The sequence below is a fragment of the Homo sapiens genome, chromosome 11 (assembly GCF_000001405.40).
Source record: "Homo sapiens chromosome 11, GRCh38.p14 Primary Assembly".
Taxonomy (NCBI): domain Eukaryota; kingdom Metazoa; phylum Chordata; class Mammalia; order Primates; family Hominidae; genus Homo; species Homo sapiens.
Genome location: NC_000011.10, coordinates 19,435,753 through 19,459,661, shown reverse-complemented (window position 1 = coordinate 19,459,661; position 23,909 = coordinate 19,435,753). Strand labels below are relative to the sequence as shown.

At 44.9% G+C, this 23,909-nt stretch overlaps 1 protein-coding gene across 11 annotated transcripts in view, besides 2 other annotated features; it reads right to left on the bottom strand.

The window, feature by feature from the left end:
* The window catches only part of NAV2 (neuron navigator 2), a 776,366-nt gene that overhangs the window by 661,940 nt on the left and 90,517 nt on the right, over window positions 1-23,909 (bottom strand). The gene's annotated exons all lie outside the window — the stretch shown is intronic.
* Window positions 16,572-17,771: an enhancer, noted in NCBI's record as "CDK7 strongly-dependent group 2 enhancer chr11:19463438-19464637 (GRCh37/hg19 assembly coordinates)". NCBI's record gives its function as "activates an origin of replication core promoter dependent on BRD2, BRD4, P300/CBP, MED14 and CDK7 cofactors, with strong dependence on CDK7, by STARR-seq in HCT116 cells {active_cell/tissue: HCT116}" and the evidence as "EXISTENCE:reporter gene assay evidence [ECO:0000049][PMID:35650434]".
* Window positions 17,071-17,160: an enhancer, noted in NCBI's record as "active region_4520". NCBI's record gives its function as "activates an Ori minimal core promoter by ATAC-STARR-seq in GM12878 lymphoblastoid cells {active_cell/tissue: GM12878}" and the evidence as "EXISTENCE:reporter gene assay evidence [ECO:0000049][PMID:35858748]".

Here is a 23,909-nt window from a genome sequence, read left to right as displayed (position 1 = left end):
CTCTAGAATACTGGTTGATTATCCCACTCCATTCCTTGAACATCTTAGATGGCTCTATGGAAACATCTGTCCTACTTGCTGCCACCCTTTAGCTCTTCTCCTGGTAATAGAGATGACTGTCCTCCACTCATTCTACCTTAGAGGGAGTTCATGACCAGGCCTGGCTGATCAGATGATCACCTCCCCCAGGCCACAGTGATTGGGTTAGGTATAAGGAAATCACCTGAGTGAAGTCTGTTCAATCCACTCAGAGCTAATCCCAGGACTCTGGCTAAGGCAGAAACTTTCTCTGTTCTGGGAGACTGAGGATTTTGACCATAAGGCTGTTGGCAGCCACTTTGCCACCAGTATCTAAGAACATAGCTCACAGAGAGGAAAGATGCAAAAAGACAAGGTCTTAAAAGCATAGTGTGTTGCCCCTGGACCTAGCCTGGCCTGCAAAGACAGCTACCCCCGGTCAATTCAATGACACAAGCTAATGCATTTCTTTATGCATAAGCCTGTATAGATTGGGCTTTCTATGACTTACAACTGGAAATTTCCTTATAACCAGAAGTTACAATTGATGTAGCTCTTCCCTGCCTTTAGCATTTTCTAGGCCTGAGCAACAAGGACCCCAGCCCGCCTTCCCACGCTCATCTCCTTTTATTCTCCCCAGCCCCAAGCACCACATCACCACCTGTGCTCACGCACACTCAAGACTCCCTGCTGTGGCTCATGCTGTCTCTGCAACAGTGGCCTGCACAGTCTCACAGGTAGTTGGTGGCAGATTGGGATTTGAATCCACACTCATCCATCTCAGCATTTGACCTCAACAGCCATGAAGGACTGCCTCAGAGAGGTAGGAGGTATGACTAGAAAGGTGGTATGAGGGGCCAAGGGGCACCCCATGCTAGCACAGGAGTCTGAGCATTATTCTTCACATGTGTAGAGAACTGGTTAAAAGCATGGGCTCAGGAGTAAGGCTTTTTGGGTTCAAATCCTGACTCTACCTCTCACTAGCTCTGGGACTTGGAGTCTTCACCTCTCTGTGCCTCGGTTTCCTTTTCTATAAAAGGTGGTCATCATGAGGACTAAATAAGTTAACAAAGATGAAGCACTTAGACAAGTGCCTGACACATAGTAGGTACAATCTAAATCTTAGCTATTATCACAATTCATTTGTAGGAGACAGAGAGCCATGGAATGGTCCTGGGCAATTTCCCAAGGCATATGCATGGCTAGACTTTATCATATTTCACATGAATGTGTGGCTTAGGCACAGGAAGGCTTTGGTGAATCATTCCGTGTGCAAGTAAAGGATCCCCCACCTAATGCTTCCTCTACATTTGACCAGACATCTGTGGGAAGGGGCTCTGGGAGCAGCCACAGCTGGCTGGTCACCCAGCACAAGCACTGCCTACTCCCTGCTACAGTGTGGCTGTCACTGGGCTGACCTCTCATCCACATGCTTCAGGAGGATGGCAGCTATGGGCACCAGGCCCAAAGAACTCCTCAGGACCTCCTCCGCCAGTGAGACTGCCATTTCCCAGATGCAGTCGTCTGGCTGGGCTTGCAGACTGGTGAAAGCAGGATGCCTGTCATATAGGGAACTTGCCTGCTGCCAAACCATCATAGGAGGGGGACCAGATGGGGGTTTTGAGGCCATAAGAAAGGCAAGGAGTGGCAACTGGGCTTGGAAGGGAGGACCCCCTGCCATCTTTCTTCTCTAACTCCTTGTGCCCTATTCCGTGCATGTCCCAGCAACCCACTTCTGTGCCTCATTCTCTTCAATTCTTTGTAATTATTTCTTGGGGGCAAAACATGAGTTTGCAACTCATCTGCAAGACCCTTCAGGGTGGGGGCTTTGTCACGTGCATCTCTGTTCTCCCCTCTGCCCAGGACGGTGGTGCCCCAAAACTTGTTACAAAATCTGTCTCCTTTTCTCCACTTTGCTGGTGACACCCCAGGCTGGCATCTCCTGCAGGGATGACTGGCCTTCCTGTTCTCCTCTCTCCCACTCCCTACAATTCACCCTTCACTTCATGTGGCAGCCCTAGTGACCTTTTAAAAAATGCAAATCAGAGGGTGTCATTCCTGCTTAACTCTCTCAAATGGCTTCTCATCCTAATTAAAATTCAACCTAAACTCCTTACCATGGTCAATAAGGCCCTCCACAATCTGGCTTTGCCCCTCCTCCATCCCTCTTCCCAGCCCTGACCATTGTTCTCTTTCTCGTCCTCACTAGGTCAGATCCTGCCTCAGAGCATCTGCACTTGCTGTCCCCTCTGCGTTACATTCAGGTCCCGAGGTCTTCACACAACTGGCTCCTTCTTGCCTACAAGCTACCTTGTTAGAGATGTGTTCCCTGACCACCCAATGTGAATTAGCCAAGTATGTCAACCCTGCATTTCCTCTCACATTACTCTATTTTGATTTCTTCACAGTATTTATCATTACTTCCTTAAAATGACATTGCTGCTGTTGTTTTCTTCCTTTTAAATTTTGCTATTGTTTTTCTTCTCCATTTAGAGTATAAACTCTATGAGAGTAGAGATGTTGTCTGTCTCACTTATCCCTGTATCCCTGAGCCTTGAGCAGGGTCTAGTAAATAATGAAAACTCACTAAGTATTTAAAAATAAATGAAAAGATCTAATAGGTTAACTACTCCCACCCTGCCTTGACCGTACTTTACAGAAGAGCCGAGTCCTAAGAGGTGGGAAGCAAAAGGCATGTCCAAGTATGGCACCACAGGACCTCTAGTCTGAAGGGATTTGGGTTCATCTCCTGTTTGCCTCCCTCACATCAGCCTGTTAAGCAGATGACAGCATCTGTCCAGGAGAGTCTAGTCCTGGGAAGGAGCAGTCCAGCCATAACAGGAAACTGCACCAAAGGGAGAGCGAGAATGGGGTAGAGAGCATGAGCTCTGGGGTCAGACGACCTGGGTTCAAATCCCACCTCTAACAATTTTACCTGGGAGGTCAGACATGTTATTTATTTGTTCTCCAAGCCTCCAAAAAGTTAAGCTTCAGTGACTTGGGGTTGACTTGATGATGCTGGGGTCAGTAGCATCTGCAAAGGGAAAGGAGTCCACCTGGCCTTGTAGGGTTGGGGGCCAAAGCCAGCTGTAAACAGCTGCCTCTATGCTGGCCAAGAAAGAAAGTAGGTATTGGGAGGAGCTGTGAGAACACAGCCTCTCTGTGGCTCCTATTTAGGGAGGATGGACATTTTCTCTAGGCCCATCACCCTTTATCTGTGAAGTAGGGATAATAATAGCTACTCTGCAAGGTTGTTCCACACAATAGACACTACTTATTAATAGTCATTATTTCATGAAGGACTTCGAGGAGTCAATGAAACAGTGACTGTGCATCTATCATGGCACCTGCCCACAGTCAGTGCCCTTTAGATGGCTGCTTCAAGATCACATGAAGGAATATCCCAGGAACACTGGGTATATCACAGGTATCCTTTAAATGCACGCTCTTTTACTTTCCTCTTTCCATTGGTAAATCAGGGGCTTCCGGTTATGTTTTTCAGAGTTGGGTCCTCAACTGTCTTGGAGGAGCTGGTGGGAGCAATCCAGGTTGCTTGGATGACATTGTTATACCTCCTTGGTGCTCAAACCCTGAATAGCAGAAGAAGCTAGTGCTGCCTGGCTTGGCCTCCTTCCCTCCCCCTCTGCAGGGCTGGCCCCACCATGAATATGCACGGTCAGGCTTTAGCCACAGCTGGGGAGGAAGGATGCCTCTGCCTTCTATAGGTCAAACACCATGGCAACCGGGCAGGCCCCCAAATATCCACAGCCTTTTGATGCAGTAGGTTCTGGTGCGTTGCTCAAGAGCAATTTCTGGGACTGTTTCGCCAGCACAGACATTACCCTGGAATTCTACTGATGGTTTTCCTTAAATAGCACAGAGGTAAATGCACAAAGGAGGGAGGAATTATCATAGTTTTGAAGAGCATGAGTTCTGATTCTAGCTCCTCCACTTCCTAGCTCTGGGATCCTGAGACAATTTACTTACCTCTTGTCATGTAAAATGGCATAATAATAGTGCCCATTCATAGAGATGCTGTGGTTATATTCAGTTATTCATTCAACAAATATTCACTGAGGCCCTAAGTGCCAGGCATTATATCTAGTAGCTATTCTTGCCTTGTAGAAATTACAGCAGAATGGGAGAGAGATTATGTACAATTCATTCAATTTCATATGTAGCAAATACTATGAATGGAATTTACAGGGTGCTATGAGAGCATATAGTGGCCTAAAATGTGATGATTCTGTCAGTAAACAGCTACTGAGCACCTACTATATACTACTTGTGGTTCTAGGTGCTAGGGATATGGTAAACAGACTCCAAGCTGGTCTCCAACCTTCCAACCCATCACTTTTCCACATAGCAGCCATAAACATTTTTGTAAATAAATATTACATTATATCACCCAAGTGCTGAAACTCTTTTGGTGTCTTCCAATTGCACTTAGAATCTAATCTCGCTATGGCAGTTACCTGACCCAACCTGGCCCTACCAAGACCTACCAGTTCTCTGAGTCTTCTAAAGTCACTCTGCCTCTTGCTTAAGTCCAGTGGTTCTCCAGCTCTCAGGTACATCTGAATTACCTGGAAGGCTTGCTGCCTACCCCTGACCCCCAGAGTCTGTGATTCAGTAAATCTGGGCTGGGGCCTGAGAATTTGCATTTCTAACCTGTTCGCAGGTGATGCTGCTGCTGCTGGCCCAGAGACCCACAGTAAGAACCACTGTTTTAGCCACAGGACCTTCTTTTTGCTCCCTGAAGACACAAAGTTTTGTCTTATCTTAGGACCTTTGTACATGCTGTTCTCTCTTTCTGGAAGGTGCTCCCACCTCCCAACACTCCCCTTGCTAGCTCCTTCTCAAATCAATTGCCCTTTCCTTAGAAATATTATCTTTAGCCATTGACCTCCTTTACTTTCAGTTACGTGTCCCATTAATTCACGGTTACAGTCTCTGGTCTGTTCCATCATCAGCCTGGCCCACCTTCCTGGAGGCTCCATGACAGAAGGACTGGGTCTGTCTTGCCTCCCAGCTCAGCACAGTGCTGGCAAACAGTGAGCAGTCAATAAGAATGCTCAGAATGAACAAACTTGCAAACAAACAGGATCCCTGTCCTCAGGGATCTTCCAGTCCAGGACACTTCGTCTAAAGCCCCAGGCCCAGCACACAGTAAATGTCAATTAACATTAACCTCCAATGCTCAGGGTGATGGGCCTGAAGAAAACATCCATTCTCCTTCAATAGAAGCCACAGACAGGCTGTGTCCTCTTAGCTCCCCTTGGGGACCTACTTTTTCAGCCAGCATTGAGGCAGCTATTTGCAGCTGACTGTGGCCCCCAACCCTATGAGGTCAGGCGGACTGCTTTCCCTCTGCAGACACCACAGGCCCCAGTATCATCAAAACAACCCTGAGCTGCTGAAACCTAACCATTTAGAGACACAGCCCTTCTTCCAGCTTCCCTGTGCTCCAACTTGGGACTTGCAGTCTGACCCAGCCTTCACCTCTCAGTGCTCTGAATCACAATGCCTCCAGGGACGGGGAGTGTTCACTTTAAGTTGCAGACTCAGAGCCCGGTAACCATTGTTTCATTGGAGCCAGCACATCTCCGTGAGCAGAATCTACGTCCAAGGCGGTGGCAGCGGATGGTGTCCAAAATTGCCCAAGAAGGCTATTCAGAGGCAAAAATGGATGGGCAATTAATAAGGAAAAATGATCGTAATGGCCTCCCCCAACATAAAGGCATTCAATTAAGGCACAATAGTGACAGGAAGGCCAATGGATGGCTCTGGATGGCCTCTTTCCTTTTTCTAAAGGGCTGACTCTGGCCTTGAGCAGGAGACAAAACCTAACAGAGTCATTTAAAAGGATAAAGGATTTATCAGCGAAGGGTTTAGATTCATGGCTGGAAGGATTTCAGGAGGAGGAGAGAGCTGTGGGGGCCCTGAGGATTGTGCAGAGAGACATGGCCTCCGCTCCAAGGCCAGGTTAGACTGCTCTCCAAGCCCCTGCAGGTTCAGGAGCAGATGGGGCAGTTTGGGCAAGGCCACATAGATGACATACATTTCAGGCTGATCCAGGCAGCCCATGGGGGCTCCAGAAGGTGTCTAGGGAAGAAATTCACATTCCAAAAACTGTTAGCATAGTCAGGGATCCCTTAAACACATTTCTAACATCAGTTTAAGGTTAAAGATTAATTTTCCTGAATTGATCTAAATCTTGCTGCCCGGTAGCACTTTGTCAGAGTCCCAAGAATAGCCCTTCTTAAGGACACGCATCCTTTCTTGGTGCCTCCAATCCTGAAAGGCTTTCTCCTTCCTTGGGCCCCATATCTTGCCCAGTATTTTGCTTTGCCTCATTTGTACTCAGCTGGGATCCACCTGTTTATTTTGAACACCTATGATGAGCCAGCCACAGTGCTGAGCACTGGGGATCTACAGGGCACAAAAAACACGAGGTGTCTGCTGTCTAAATTGAGAGGGGAACTCAGAGCAGTGGACAGTTGAATATGAGCAATGTCATGTAGCAATCCCAGTTATGATCCCAGTCTCTGGAGTCAGATTGCCTGGGTTCAAACCCTAACTCGCACTTACCAGCCATGTGATTTTGGGTTCATGTGATCTTGATGGAATTACTTAACTTCTCTGAGCCTCAATTTCAACATCTGTGAAATGGGGATATAGCAAAGGTTTGTTGTGGATTGGATTAATACATGTAAAAAGCTTTTACATATAGTAACCACTATTTAAGTGTTAGCTATCTTATTGTTATTATGAAAGTCGAAATACAGAGGGTCCCTGACTTACAATGGTTTGATTATATGATCGTACAAAAGCAATACACATTCACTAGAAACAGTACTTTGAGTACCCATACATTGTTTTTCACTTTGAATACAGTATTCAAAAAAATTGCATGAGATATTCACACCTTATTATAAAATAGGCTTTGTGTTAGATACTTTTGCCCAAATGTAGGCTAATGTAAGTGTTCTAAGCACATTTAAAGTAGGCAAGGCTAAGCTATGATATTCAGCAGCATAGGTGTATTAACATATTTTTGACTTAGGATGTTTTCAACTCACAATGGGTTTATTGGGATGTAACCCAACGGTAAATCAAGGAGCATCAGTACAGGACTGTGGAAGAGAGAGGAGGATTTCTCACCCAGACAGTGGGCTATGGAAGAGGATGGTGGCTAGACAAGGAACCTGTCCTAGAGGTCTTTTTGGAAGACAGAGAGGGCATGGTCAATATGGTCATTTGTTTATGGTCATCTTCCCAACCTGTCAGCTGTGTCTTTATCTTCCTCATTCGTCTCCATATGTCAGGGCCCAACATGATACCTGGCACATGGCAGTTCTTCCATAACTATTTGATTCTTAATTTTTTAAAAGCAATCTCTTAAATTTGCCTTTAGTTCAACTGATCTCTGGAGGGTTATCCACTTAGGTGAAAAGACTGGAAAGGAAATGAAGAAGAAATATTAATCTTTACACACACACACACACACACACACACACACACACACACACACACTTTTGTAACCTAATAGAACTGACCAGGTGTTGCATAGTTACAGGATAATGACGTGAACCACGTAGTGAGGATGAAACAGCTGATACCGTAGTTATGAGGATACTTCATGGTAAAGACACATTTCTTGTTGATCCTCTTCAATGCCTCCTCTCCCACTTAGGATAAAGACACCCACCTTTGGTCTGGCCTACAAGACCCTGCTGATCTGTCCTTGCCCACCTCAGCAGCTGCTGTTGCTCTGTCACTCTCTAGACTCCAGCCAGCTTCTATTTCCATGTCCTTACATTTGCTTAACACCTTTCTGCCTCAGGGCCTTTGCACAAGCTGTGAGGCTGTTCCTTCCTCTAGAACTCTCCCTCTTCCCTTCTTTCCTGCTAGGAAACTCAGACTTATGTTCAGTCCCAGCTAAAACATCCTCAGGACAGGCAGGCCTTTCAATTCTCCAGACCAGGTCTCACTGTGACTTGTCCTCCTAGCATCCTACACTTCTCATGTGCAATACCCAAGTCACCTGTAATTATTTTAGTATTTGCGAACTTGGTTTTTAAAATCTCTGTCTCCAGCTTTAGACAGTAAGCCCCACTGCTGTTTGTTTAGAGCCCAGCACAGAGCTGAATAATAGTAGGTCCTCAATAAATATCTGTTGGAAAGAAGGAAAGGATGCAGGGAAGGAAGGAGAGAGAATGTGTACCATTTGGGGAGAGGTATAGACGGACAATGAATCTATTAGGGTGAGATCTGCTTCCTTTTCTGTGATGTGACGAACTCTGTGCTGCTTGGGGGATACAAGTAAATCTCTAGGAATATCTTGGAGTCATGAAAGAAGAGAATGAGGGAGGGGCAGAGAAATGAGAGGAGGTGGAGACAATAGGCAGCAGGCTTGGGACTCGGTTTTGGAACAACGGGGAGATGGAGGGATGCAGATACAAACAAGGGGCAGACAGAGCTATGTCCCTCTGTCCCGTCAGCTTCTTTCATACTATGTGACCCAGGGTGGAGTTAACCTGGGGACAGCTAAAGCTCTCTATGCCAGTATATTATGGGAAGGTAATCAGAGAAGTCCCTACTGGGTGGTGATTTACTAAGTGGCCACTCTGATCAGAAGCTTCCAAGTTGTTTCATCCTCCCTAAAAGTAACTCTGTACCTCATTCAGAAGCTGCTACACACCTCCACCTCACCCAGCAGACCCACAGGATCACCCACCAGTTGGCACCATAATGCACAGGTGGCTTCAATGAGGAGGCTTCAGAAACACCAAGCACAAGCCTGTCACACGCACAACCCTGTTCTGTAGGGAAGAAAATCCATGCCATTTGGTGAAAACTCTACACAAACGCGTCCCTGCCAAACCAAACTGATTAAGCCAACCCAGCTGCTTGATTTAGTTGTGAATGACGAAGTTGTATAGGTTATGCAGGGAAATCTTGTTAATTTAAAACTCAGGAGATCAGACATTAATTCAAAAGTCAAAGTGAAACTATACATGTGTGGTTTCTGATATTTTTATTAATAGGACATTTTTGTCAGCTGGGAAATGGCAAAGGTTCTGAATTATGTGCTGTTTTGAATAAGCCATTAATGGATTTGGAAAGTTTTTTGCCATTCATGCTACAGGATGTAACAAATGACTTCAGGGCTTAGCACCAGTGATTTGCCTAGGCTGGTTCCGGTGAGAAAAGGATAGACCTAGCCATTTTCCTGCTACCAAATGGTTTTCATCCAGCACTCCATGGCTCAAGGAGCTGGTCTTTAGACACTGACAAAGAGAAAAATGAGAGGGGAAGGGAATAGGTGGCCCTGCAGGTCTGAATACTGCTGATTTTAAGTGACCTGTCACCACTGAGGAGTCAAATCATACGCTGTGCAGGGAAATTAGGTGTTGAGCCACTCCCCAGGTGCTCAGAAGAGGGGTTTTAAAAATCCATGTGTACCATGCGGCTGCTCACCCCTGCAGCTCCACTGTACAGTGGTACATGGATTTCCAAATTCCTTGTTCAGGCTGTCACTGTTGTCCCAGAAGGTCTTTTCCCCCATTCCAAACACTCAGGCAGTTCATTTTTTAAAATGAGGTCCCAGTGGTGAATTGAAAATAACACAGTTTTCAGATCGGCATCCCTTCCTGTCATGTCTTTCCCTAGAAAAGTGAATAAAGGCTCTTTGCTGCCCTTTGCTATGGATGTCTGGTTAGTTCTCACCATAACCGAATGAAGCCACGAATCTTCAGGTGGAGGGCAGAGCACCAGAAAGATTTGCAGAAGGAAGGGCCAGGGGGTGGGAGGGGGGTCACCGGAGTCCACAGTTGTTGTTTTTAGCACAGCCATTGACTTGCTCTGGGCCAGGCACTGCGGACATAGAAGGTGCTCTCATGGCCCAGCCCTGCCCTCAAGGGGCACACAACCTGGTGAGGGAGGCAGACATGGAAACAGACTATAATAACTAGGAAGTCACAAAAGCACCCCACCCCGTGCCCCTACCCCCCCACCCCCACAACACACACACACACCCTGAATTCTTCCCTTGCTCTCAGTCAGGTGCAAGGTGGGGGCCAGCCCTGGGAGGTGGCGGTCCCTGCCTGAGGAGGTATGGGCAGGCTTAGTATAGAAGTGCTTTCCCTGAGCACAGCAGCCCTCCCTGTGGGGTTGGTACCAATGCATTCTGCCTGTGGGCCTGTGGCTGTTCCTTCTCGGCTCCCACATTTTTTTTTTTTTTTGAGATGGAGTCTCGCTCTGTCGCTCAGGCTGGAGTGCAGTGGCAGGATCTCAGCTCACTGCAAACTCCGCCTTCCGGGCTTGGCTCCCACATTTCAAATCAGGCCTCCACATTCGTCAGAATCTTCTCTTGGGGAGTGTTTCAAGAGCCCTCTACATCACTTATATCACTGTGGACCAGGCCACACTTGTCTTTCCTCAGCTCAGAGCCCAGCTGGGTCATGCTCCCCAAACTGGAGGCCAGGTTCATGATGGCTTAACAGAACCAGGAGCTGGGGCTGGAAGGGAGGGAGTGTGGAGAACCAAAAATAATCGCTCAATTTCAGGCCTTGCTCAAGGCTAAGTGAATTTAATAATCCATAGATCATGCTATACAAATTGCATTTCACAGTTTAAAAAAAAAATAGTCTCACACTGTGTAGAATACTGGGTGGTTTATTTTACAAATAAATAACTGCACTCTAAACAGCTCTATTTCCTTAGCAATCACTCTTAGAGAGCACATTGACTTTCTGGCTCTCCTCTCTCCCTCCTTCACAGACCATAACTTCATTGCCAAAGAGTCTTTATTTATCAAACTAATCACTACGTGAACAAAAGAGAAAACGGATGGCATTTATTAAGTGCTAACTATATGTTAGGCAATATCCAGCATGCCCTACATATATCATTGCATTCAATGCTCATAATATGAAGTAAGGAATGTAATCCCATTTTACAGATGAGGAAACTCAGAATCAGAGAGGTTAGGGAACTTAACTCAAGTTCACATAATGAATACTTACAGCCCAGACCTCGTAAAACAAAATGTCCGACTAAATAGCAAATGGTCTCCCCATGAAGAACCACGTGCCAGGATCCCAGTATAAGATGAACTTGGGATTGGGAGGAGCCAGACTTCCCAGGATGTCCTGGCCATCTGCATTTCTGATGTTGCTTCTGAGGATAATGCTTATATTCCAATCCACGCAATGAGAGAGCCAAGCCTGCTGAGAGCGCTAAGGTAACACTCAGGTTTGAAACCTGGTCTAGTTTGAAAGGTGGGAGCTGAGAAGTAACAGCCACAGGCAGAATACATTGGTACCAACCCCACGGGGAGGGTTGCTGTGCTCAGGGAAAGCACTTCTATGCTGAGCCTGCCTGCCCACACCTCCTCAGGCAGGGACCGCCACCTCCCAGGGCTGGCCCCCACCTTGCGCCTGACTGAGGGCAAAGGAAGAATTCAGGGGGAGTGTGATGGGGGGTGGGGTAGGGGCACAGGGTGGGGTGCTTTTATAGCTCCCTAATTATTATAGTCTGTTTCCATGTCTGCCTCCCTTACCAGATTGTGTGTCCCTTGAGGGCAGGGCTGGGCCATGACAGCACCCTTCTTCCTTTAACCACTTGTGGTGGGCAACAGCTCAAGCTAAACCAGGGTGCGTGTTTGGTCAGAGGAGAGAGAGGAAGGTGGGAGGGTCTGGATTTGTGTGTTCTGAGCTGCTCATTGGGAGCTGGGGGTGAGCATGGAGGCGGGGGTCCCTGTGCCTCATCTCTCATATCTCACTGCAAGAATCCAGCAGAAGGACCTGCTGATGGAACGTCAAGGCTAAGGAAGACAGAAGCAGCACTTCTCCAGAAGCAGCACGTCTTACAAGTCAACCCAGTTCTACCCGGTCCAGAAAGGGACCTTCTGTGACTTATTCTGTGGGTAAGTGAAAGAGATACGGTCTCTGCCCATGAGGCAGGCTTACATTCTAAGTCAGGAGTGCTTGATATTTACCCCACCTATGTCATAGTGTTGTAAGAATTCAGGGTAATAACAATAGCAGCTCACTGAATGCTAGACCGTGAGCTAAGGGCTTTAAATGCATCGTCTCGCCTTCCCCCAAACCTCTGTGAGGTGGGAATTACTATCCTCACTTTCCACAGCAGGAAGCTGAGGTTAAGCACGTTTGTCCTGGTGTCTCAGCCAGGAAGTGGTGGAGCTGGAATCAAACCAACTCTACCAAACCCCAGAGCCCAGGCTCTGAACCTTCACCCCACACAACCGGTTCAGATGAGGGTGAGTGGAAATGCTTTGGAAACCACGAAGCAAGGTGCAAATGCCAATGATTATTTGGGTTCATAGGACAGACTGATGGAGAATCTATCTTGAAAAGAACCAGCCCACTCAATTTCAGAGATGACTCAAGTAATCTGGAAGAGATTGGCAGTATCATGTTTCCAACTAGTTTTGTTCATTTGGAAAAGGATTCAGGTTAGGATTAGAAAGCAGATAAACCTCTTTTACCGCAGGCCTCTGAGCAACAGTGGCTCTCAGTATCCCAAGTTGTGAGTGGGGCAAAATCTTCTTGATTCCGGGGAGGGGATACATAGAACTCCCTTCTGGTCCAGCAGGCAGCATAGTAACCTCACTTCCTCATGCAATGTTCTTTTCCTCACTATTGTCTCCCCTCCTTGGAGAGAAGTAGAATCACAGGTGCCTGGAGGACTTTCATGGCACTAGAGAGACCAGGCTGACGCTTGGCTCCCCTTTCCCTGGTCCCAGGCTACATCAACATCTGTTCCACACTGTTGTTTGGGGGTCATGAGACCTCCAGTCTGTAATGGGATGGTCATATTCAAAAGGACAATGGCCTTTACAATGACCTGGTTCTCCCTCCCCACCAGGCTCTGGCTCCCACATTTGAGGTGCTCCAAGCAGTTCAGCGGTTCAGCTGTTTGCATTAATGATGACTCTGGCGGCAGGCAGGCAGGCAGGCAGGCACACCGTCTGAGATGCAGTCCTCATTCTTGTTATCGAATCCCCTAAAGCAATTGCTAACCCCCTGCTATCACCTGGCAGGCTAGAAGGAGCTCATTAAGAGGCAGAAAACTCCCCAACATGTCCAAAAACTCCATTCTCTGGAGAGCTGCCCACTGAGGCAGATAAACCTTGAGTTGTGTCAACTTTCATTTAAACCCAAACAACCTCTGGCCTTGTTCTCTGTGTCGGCTGAGCCTTGGTTAATGTCACAGAACATATACTAAAAGGAACTGGGAGGGAAGGAAGAAAGGATGCAAAATTTGTATTTAAATTGCTCCTCCCCAATCCTTAAAAACATGGAGGCATCTAGGAACCCATAGCTATGATTCTCTGGTGGTGGGAGGGAGGGGTTTTCTAGCCAAGAGAACTAAGATCCCTGATCCTGTGCTTCAAACGAGGCTACTTGGTTCCACTTTCATTACCTTAGTCTGGGAAAGTGAGGATAGGTGAATGTAGAGCTAGATAATCAAATCGTTGTTTTTCTTGTGTTGTTTCCTGAAGAAATTCTATAGATGAGACTGAGCAAACTAAGATCTGGAAAAAGTCTTGAAGATGCACAGCATGGTAAAGCAAAATGACTTGGGCTTTGCACCACAAAGACATTGTTGACACAAGGACATATGACAGGATGACATAGCTAAGAAGTTGAGTCTACAACAGAGAATGGGCAAGTGACTTAATCTCGCTTTCTGCCTCAGTATTTCTCACCTGTACTATGGGGATAATAACATCACCTACCTTGTAAACTATTGGAAAGATTAAATGATATGGTTGCTCTGTTTAGAGCCTAATATGGTACCTGGCACATGTAACTTCCCTCCATCTCCCTTTCTCTCTTATTTAAAAAAAAAAAAAAAAAAAATCAGAGGCCCAGAGACAATAAAGAGGGCTGCCAAAAGCCACAGAGCTAGATCCAGCTAGTGGAAATGGGCAAGTATCAGTCTCCTAACACTTTCTGCTTTTTCCTAGCTACATCTTGACATTCTGCTGAATTACCCTTGGCAAATGGATGTGGCTCGAGAGACCAGAGTCCCTACCCAGTTAAAATTCAAATCTTAGCTCCAAAATTTACTATGTGAATATGGCATAATTCCATCAAGTACCTTGTATCAGCTTCCTTATCTATAAAGTGGGGATCATAGCAACTTCATAAGGTTTGTGATGAGGATTAAACAAGTTAACATGAATAAAGTGCCTAGTCCCATGCCTGGTGCCTCCCAGGAGTTCAGAGTCCCCTCCCTCAGCTCCTTCTTCACTGTATCTCCCACAGTGTCCAGCACAGTGCTCTACCTGCAGGATGTATTCTGATCTTTGTTGGCCAGTAGGACTAAAAAAAAACCACCTGCCAGAAAAATGTAGCCTTCTGGTCACCAAATTCAAAGGGGGCCCTGTCTATCTTCAGGACCACATTCCTTATTTCCTCTTCCCGTGTTTGACTGTCTGTTTTGCACCTGTGCACCATGTTCTCAATCTTCTGCATGCCTCTCTTCAACCCCAGGACCAGACCACAGTCCACCTCCCATTCACCCAGTGCCTGATTCTCCATTGATAAATAATGATGGTGGTGATGATGAAGATGGAGATGATGATGGCAGTGATAGCAGAGATGGTGGTTGTGGTAGTTAACTTTTATTGAACTTTTACTCTGGGCCAGACATTTTCCTATTCTTCATATAGATTTCTTTCTCCAAGTCCCATAATATCCATATGCCTATTTATAAAAAAGTTTAAGTAATTCACAGGGCTAAGTGATGGAGTTGGAATTCACATCTAGGCATTCTAACTCCAGAGTCTACACAGTTAACCACTAGAAAAGCCTGAAAACGACCTCTCAGGGGAGATCTTATTCTATATTTTATAATAATTAGTAATAATATAATAATTAGTAATAATAATAATAAAGGAACAACAGCAATAACAATGTAATTATTAAGGTAGTATTAGCTGCTTTAACAGGTAAGATCCAAACTCTTGGTGGTTCAACACAAAGGGAACTCATTCCTTGTTCATACAGAGTTCAATGATAGAGTGAGGGGAGGAGCAGGTGGGCAGTGGGGGGCCGGTTCTACAGCCATTCAGGGATCCAGGCTGATGGTTGCTGCACCATCTTCAGCACATGGTTAAACCACAGCAAGAACATTTTATGAGCCCATCTGGAAGAGGCATTACATCACTTCTATCCACGCTGTATTTGCCAGAACTTAGCCACATGACTTTCCCTAGATGCAAGAAAGGTTGAGGAATGGAGTTCCTGGCTGGGCAGGGCTTCTGAGCAATAACTCTTCACTGTGGAGGGGGAGCCCAAATCTTTGGAGACAGCTAGCCATTTCTACCACAAACAACAATAGCAGCAACCATAAAGATAATAATAAGGGCCAGGCACAGTGGCTCATGCCTGTAATCCCAGCACTTTGGGAAGCCCAGGCAGGCGGATCACAAGGTCAAGAGATGGAGACCATCCTGCCCAAGATGGTGAAACCTCGTCTCTACTAAAAATACAAAAATTAGCCAGTCGTGGTGTCATGGTGGCTGGTGCCTATAGTCCCAGCTACTCAGAAGGCTGAGGCAGGAGAATCACTTGAACCTGGGAAGCAGAGGTTGCAGTGAGCCGAGATTGCGCCACTGCACTCCACTCCAGCTTGGCAACAGAACAAGACTCCGTCTCAAAAAAATAATAATAACGATAATAATAATAATAAGAGGAGTTGTCCCTTATTGAACACTCACTACGCATCTATACTAGGCTCTGTGCTAAGTACTTGATACAATTATATCTACTTTTCTGAACTCTAAAACATAGATGTTATTATGCCTATTTTACAGAGAAGAAAACTGACATTTTAGAAGATGTGAAGAATTTGCTCAATCTCACACACCTATCAAGGGGCAGATCCAAATTCCAAGCCAGATGTCTTAGTCTGGGTCTTGTAGAAAGCAGAGCTTGAGCAGTGTAAACACTCTTTGGGAAGTGCAAGCCCAGGACAGTGAGAAAGAGGAGAGAAGAAAACCCATGTGAAGAAAGGAGCAAAAGGATGCAAAGAGATGCCTTAGTGTGCTGGCCACTGCTTTACCACAAGCTGCTGGCAGATGCAGCAGGTCACCTGACAGGTGTCCTTGCTCAGCATGTGGGACTTTCTGCAAAAGATTTGCAAGGACAAACTGTATCTCAGAGTGGTCCATGGCAGGGAGAGAGAGTGGGGATGCACTGCCCATCTCTTTCAAGTTTCTTCCTTCTCATTGGTCCAACTCCATGGAGAGCTGACTGTATACTTCTCCGTCATTGCAGACCATTGGTGGCCACTGAGAAGGTCAGAAACCATATCCTGCAGTGTAGCATTTCATCCAAGTGTCGCAGTGGAGGAGCAACTCAGCAAGGATAAGGCCTGGCATAGAGGGCATGAAGGCCATGCTGTCCCAGGGCTTCAGCTCAGAGATTCTAGCAAGGATGCTGCCATAGGTGGCAGCAGGACAAGGTAACTGTGACTTCAGGAAGAAGGAAGTGGTATGAGGAATATGATGCCCAAGATTCATGTCTCATTCCCAAAGCTCAAGCTCTTTTTACTACGTTACCTGGCCTCCCTCTCCAGTTAGATCTAAATGTGGGTGTTTCAGACACCTTGATGGGTAGGTAGGGGGACCTCTTTGGGCGGGACTGCATCTCAGATCTTATCCTAAAAGGGACCACATTTCTCCCGATGGTGGAAGGGGCAGCTGAAATTAAAACACCAAAAACACAGGACAATCCACTTCTAAGCTGCTTTAGTCAAGGGAAACAAGCACATTCTTGAAGCTACTGGAAGAGAGAGAATGATACTTTTTATATAGCCTATTGTCACACTTGCTGTAAAGGTTGGGACTCTAGGGCCAAGGCAGCCACAGGGGGACTTGTTTAAGTTTACACAGCCAGTTGGTGGCAGGGTGGAACCAGAGCCCTGGGCCCTTGCTATGATGCCACCATCTCCCAACATCACTGCAGGCTTCTGCAGGCCACCTGAGCCCTGCCCTCTGATCCTGGCCAGCTCTCCCACACCTGGGCTCTCCCAGCAACAGCAGAGAAAGGTCAACTTCTCACATTTGAGAAATGCACCTCCTTTCTAGCCATATCCACCACCAGCGCATGAGTCACCTCTCTGGGGAAAGCCCTCCTCTGTGTTGAGTCATTTCACCTTTGGTTTTGAGTGATTCCAAACCCACAGACGTAATTATCCTTATGTATCAGCCAGCCTTATCACAAGAACTCAGCAACTTGCCTGTGCCGCCAGCAAAAACCAGATAGGAGCGGGAACTGTTTGAAAGCCTCAGGCAATGAGCAGGGGAAATAGGAATGGAGGCCCAGCCTCTTGCCAGGCCAGCCCCCTTTCCTCAACCATTAGGATTTCTGAGAGGGCCTCTGGGATGATGGGGAGGAGGGAGAGTGCAGGTGTGAGTGCACACAGTCTCCCCTCCCCAGGGCCCTCACATTCGGAGCTCCACTCCACTTCCGCCACAGCAGTCCCTGTTTCTAAAACTGGAGATTGCTAGACCAGGAAATGGCAGGCCTGAGCCAGTGGTTCCCAAGCAGCCCTGCCCCGCCTGCCAAGCCATTAGGAGGAGGATTGAGATGATGGGGGAACAGAGCAGGCACAATTAAACCACACGTTGCTATCTTGCAAATGGCATGAGCAATGTGATTTAACAGCTCATTATTAATGGGAAAAATAGATAAGGACCAGGTTCGGTGTCCAGAGGAGAGCTCCCAGACCAAATTGAATACGTGCTAATGCTTGCTTTCAAGCCAGCGGCTGACAGAAGGGTGGATTCCACTCCTGCCCAACTTAGCACCCCCAGCCCCTGGCTCCCTGCTGAAGCCAAGGGAGAAAATGGGCTCCGATAAATTGTCTGCTGCAACCAACATCCTCTCTTTGAGAATAACAACCACAAGAGAAGCACCACATCTGTTGTTTCACAAAATTGGTTAAAAAATAAATAAGAAGTAGCAGCCCACTTACAAGTGCCCACCATAAGACAGAATGAAGGAGTGGGTTGTTTCTAAAAGATTAGGAAGAAATGACGTGCAATGACTTCAGTCTTCTCTGAATCAGATCTCAGTTTCATGCTCTTACTGCTATCTGTACACAGGGCATTGTCAGCCTGTTGAAGGGTGTGTGTGTGTGTGTGTGTGTGTGCGTGTGTGTGTGTGTGTGTCCCAGTGTCCTTTCTTGTACCTCTCCGATCTGTTCTCCTCACAGCAGCCAATGTGATTTGATCACATATCTCTCATGTTTAAAACATTTCAATATCTCACTAGGACTCTTAAGTCAAAAACCAAAATCTCCAACATGGCTGAGAGACCTTGTAGGGGAATCTCCTCCAGGCTCTAGACCCATCCATCTCCAGCCATTCTCCTAGATGATCCCCAGGGTCCAGCCACACTGGCCTTTTGTCCTGCCAAGGCCTTTGCATCGTATTCCTCCCCCGGCATGAGACATTCTTCCCACCTCCTTTTGCCCCTTCTAAACCTAGTTAAACATCAATATCTCAATAAAGGCTTCCTGGGCTTTCTCCTTTATGTGCCCTTCCATCATCCTGTACATCTTCTTTGTATCATGTGCCACAGTTTTAATTACACAATTATTTGTATGGTTAGTTATTTAATGCCTGTTTTCCTCATTACACTGCAAACAATGACAGCAAGGTCAAACTGCATTTTTTCTGTACTGGTTTCTAGACGCTGTGGAAGATTGGCCTACTTAGCGATGGGGCAGAGGTGTTTCAAGATGTTTATCCTGCACAAAGAAAATAATGGGAATAGTTGTTGAGGGAGGGTGAAGGTTAAACCAAGCCTCCATTCATTCATTGAGTTAGTCAATCACCTAGAGTTCACTGAATGCCTAGTCGATGCCAGGAGGTGTGTAGACTGGGCAGTCAGGTTCAACAGTTAACAAGACAGCCATGGCTTGGTATTCTGTGCCCATCTCTCACCCCCTTACCATACTTGACTGCACTTAACCTAACACAGTCAGTACTTTCAGCATCCTCAGTACCAAATAAATGTTCAATGCAAGAATGAATGACTAGAGTTATATAAGACTCCCATGAGACAATCAGCCAGGAGCATAACCTAGCCCCTCTCCTTACCCCGTTCTCAACTTCCCAGACCCACCCTCTATTCCAACCATACCGACCCCAGCAGCTTGGACAATACTAGTTACACCCTTGTACAGGTTACAACCTTTCCCTTTGCCTAACTCCAACTCATCCTGAAGCACTTGGTTTAACCATCACTTCCTTCAGGATGCCTTCCCTGTCCTGACCATCACCACCACCACCACCCTCACTAGACCCAAGACTGACAACTTAAGACTGAGTTGGGATTCTTGCCATGGCTTCCCATAGCACCCACTATCTCCCCTGCTAATTGTCTGTCCTCCCCACTAGACAGTAGCTTCATGCAGACAGCAACCACGTCCATCTGGTATACCAGCCATTTGCCTGACACATAGTAGGCCCTGAAAGATTATTTTTTACGTGTGTGATCGACTAAACATTTGAGTGGCAATTGAACATAAAGAAAGAATGCTTCTATTATCTAGCTTTTAATTATATAACTTCAAATACATGGGCGTTTTGCTGAAGGTCTGGTCAAAAGGGTAAGTTACTTTTAAAAATTGTACTTGTAATTAATTTTTTTAAACCAATTTGTATGTTACTCTCAATATCCCACATTATCCTTGGCTATACCTGCAGCCCTGGGTAATGAGGACTGATGTTCAGAATGAATGGAAGATTAAATCACGCTCAGCGCATGTAAGAAAAATGAATTCTGACATGTTCTAAGGATTTTTAACAAGGGTTGAAACAAAAGAGGATTTCTAATTAACCCTCAGTTACCTAGGAAATTGCATCAGTCACAGTGTTCATTCATAAAAATGTATTTCTTGATCATGTCATGTATGAATGATTAAGGAGCCAAATATGTGAATGAGCACATTGGGACATAGAAAATAAACACAGGTATCATGTTGGGCCTATTACATAGGTTATCCCATCCACAGCTCGCAACCTCTCTGTGAGGTCAATATTATCACTGCCACTTTTTTTTAACTTTTAAATTCAGGGGTACATGTGCAGGTTTGTTACATAAGTAAAATGAATGACTCTTCCTATATCCTTTTTCTAAGGACCGGTGTGATTATGTGGTGCCCATCTGGATGATCCAGGGTAATCTCATTTCAGGAGGTTTGTTGTACAAAATTTCATCACCCAGGTATTAAGCCTAGTACCTATTAGTTATTTTTTTCTGATCCTCTCTCTCCTCCTACCCTCCACCCTCTTATAGACCCCAGTGTGTATCACTGCCACTTAGCTGGTATGATATTGTGATACAATAAGAAATATATATTTGGTCTTTGTCTTGGGTTCCTGGCAGAGAGTTTCTAAAACGCTTGGAACTTCCCGAGCCATAGGAGTGAAAGGAGCATCTTTTGCTATTCATACAAGCCCCTTCCAACCACACCTGAGTTTATGATAATGAGGTGACCCTTTGTGGGCCCCTAGAAAACTTCAAGATGGGGGCTGGCTGCCAGAGGAACCAACCATGCAATTAGAGGATTGGAGCAATCAGCCCTCTCCACTCCCCAATTCCAGGGAGGAGGGAGGGGCTGGCGATTGAGCTAATCACTAATGGCCAATGATTTAATCAATTATGCCACTTAATGAAACCTCTACAAAAAAAAAAATCTCTAAACTTCTAAGTTTAGACAGCCTTTGGGTTTAGAGAGCCTTTGGGTTGGAATGCATCCACATGCCAGGAGGGTGGCACACTCTAATTTTACAGAATGGAGACTCCTGCAATCAGGATCTTTCCAGACCTCATCTTATGCAACTCTCCTTTGGACTACTAATCTGTACCGTTTATAATAAACCAGTCAATGTAAATAAAATGCTTTCCTGAGTTCTGTGAGCCATTCTAGCAAATTATCAAACCCAAGGAAGGAGGTGTGGAAAATCCTAATTTATAGCTGATTGGTCAATGTCACTGGGTAGTTAGAGTCAGAATTGAATGGAATTGTTGGAATGGTTGGTGTCTGGAGAGTATGAAAATTGGTTGTTGGTGTGGAAAACCCTCACATTTGGTGTTAGAAGTGTTATGAGTTAAAAACAGATCATAGTAGCTGGTAAAACAGACTCTGAGATACAGAATAAGTTCCCCAGGATTGCACAGGTGACAAGGGCTAAAGACAAGATTTGAGAATAGGGCTGCTTGCATCCAAACCTGTGCTTCCCCTGCTCCCTGTCTTGCCACACACAGTGGTTGATGACTGCTACTTAATCTTCGGAAGCCTCAGCTTCTTCACCTGTAGACTGGGATAACAATAGTACCCATGAGGTTGCTGTTAAGGATTGACAAGACAGTCCATGGAGAGTACCTTGGTGCACATTAAAGCACAACGATGAGGCCACAGGGAACTCCTCTTTTAACCCTGAGAATGAAATGACTATAGAACAAGGGATGGGTGATAGTGGATCAGAAGTCAGGTGAGGCCAGAGTCAAAAGTAGAAGCACTTTATGTCATTGCCAAGGAGGCGGCTTGGAACCTAGCCCCAGTGAAGGCTTTTCATTCTTTTAAGAATTCATTCCAGAGACATTAAATCACCAGTGATTATGTTGGCACAGAGGGTGATATTATGGAGAAAAATACACATATCAATGACTCAGAAGTGATTCTGAAAACTCAGCCTCTAATTGGAGATGTTTGAGGAATACTTATTCAATGTATTTTGCCTGTCTTTTTTATGCTTGCACAATAGTTATATGATAGAAAGTTATGTCTAGTTAAGTATAAGAAAACTTTATAATGGGTAGAAACATTTGAAGTGATGAGAATGCATCGTTTCATAGTTTAATTGGCAGTAACTTTTTTTTCTGAGTGGCACATAAATCATAGTGAATGTTATAACCAATGGTTTTTGAGATTTGATGAAATGCAACAACCTTTTTACAAATAGACATTTGGATATTTGACCCATTTGTGAGCTTTAACTGCCTAAAGAAGGAATTCAGCCAAAGGTATAAAAGACTATTGTCCCCAGTATTTTCCAGAGTTAATTTTGCTGGAAAATAATGGTGCAAAGAAAGACAAGAGGACAGAAGGAAGGGGATGGAAAAGAGAAAAGGGAAGCAGAGTGTGGGGTGGGGTTGGAAACAGATTGTATATATTAACACTTGGATACAGGTTTAATCTGATTGATAGGAATAAATATTTAAAGGATGACACCAAGACACTGTGAAATCCTCAGTCATCAAGCAGAGATTACCATGTACATTTGGGAAGATAGTGGGTTTTGAGTTGAAAGTTTTCCAAGGATTGGAAAAAAGTATTTGTCTGGTTAGCCTTAAGTAATCAGAAACTAATGAACCTGGGACCTTCCAGTTAAATGAGTTGATAGTAGTAGCTTTATCTCATGAGTGGTCAGTTTCCTTTGTGATAGATCACATTATCTAGAAATGCACTGCTGCTTTCACAGTCTTGCCTACCTCATTTTAGTAATTAGGCAAGAAAAAGAAAGAAAAGGCATCCAAATAGTAAAGGAAGAAGTGAAACTGTCTCTGCTGACTACATGATCTTATGTATAGAAAATCCTTTAGACTCCACCAAAAATGTGTTATAACTTATAAAAGAACTTAGTAAAGTTACAGGATATAAAATCAATATACAGACACCAGTAGCATTTCTATACACTAACAATGAACTATTTGAAAAAAGAAATTATGAAAACAATCCTATTTATAAAAGCATCAAAGAAAATAAGATTTAACCCAGGAAATGAAAGCTCTGTATACTGAAAAGCATAAAATATTGATAAAAAATTGAAGATGACACAAATAAACGGAAAGGTGTTTCCATGTCTTCTAACCTATGTTCATGAAGTAGAACAATTAGTATTGTTAAAATGTCCATACTACCCAAAGCAATCTATAGATTCAATGAAATCCCTATCAAAATTCCAATGTCATTTTTCACAGAAATAGGAAAAACAATCCTAAAATTCAATGGAACCATGAGAGACCCCAAATAGCCAAAGCAATATTGACCAAAGGAAAAAAAACAAAGCTTGGTGGCATCACACTACAAGATTTCAAAATGTATTACAAAGCTATAGTAATCAAAACAGCATGTTACTGGCATAAAAACACACATAGACCAATGGAATAGGCTACAGAGCCCAGAAATAAATTCACATATCTATGATCAACTGCTTTTCAACAAAGATGCCAAGAACACACAATGGGGGAAAGAACAGTCTCTTAAATAAACAATTTTCGGATAACTGGACATCTACATGCAGAATAATGAAATTAAATTCTTGACTTATGCCATATATAAGAATCAAGTCAAAATGGATTAAAGACTTAAACACTTAAATATCAGACCTGGAACTGAAAAATTACTAGAGGCAAACATAGGAGAAAAGCTCTATGATGCTTGTCTGGGCAATGATTTCTTGGATGTGACCCCAAAATCATAGGCAACGAAAGCAAAAATAAACAAATGGGACTGCATCACACTAAAAAGCTCCACAACAAAGGAAGCAATTAATAGAATGAAGAGACGACACAGAGACTGGGGGGAAATATTTGCAAATCATACATTGGATAAGGAGCTGATATCCAAAATAGATGAAGAACTCAAATTTCTCAATAACAAGAACACAAATAACCGTATTAAAAAATAGGCAAAGGACTTGAATACTTTCTGAAATGAAGACATACAAATGGCCAACAGATATAGGAAAAATGCTCAACATCTCAATCATCAGCAAAATGAAACTTAAAACCACAATGAGCTATCATCTCACACCTGTTAGGCTGGCTATTATC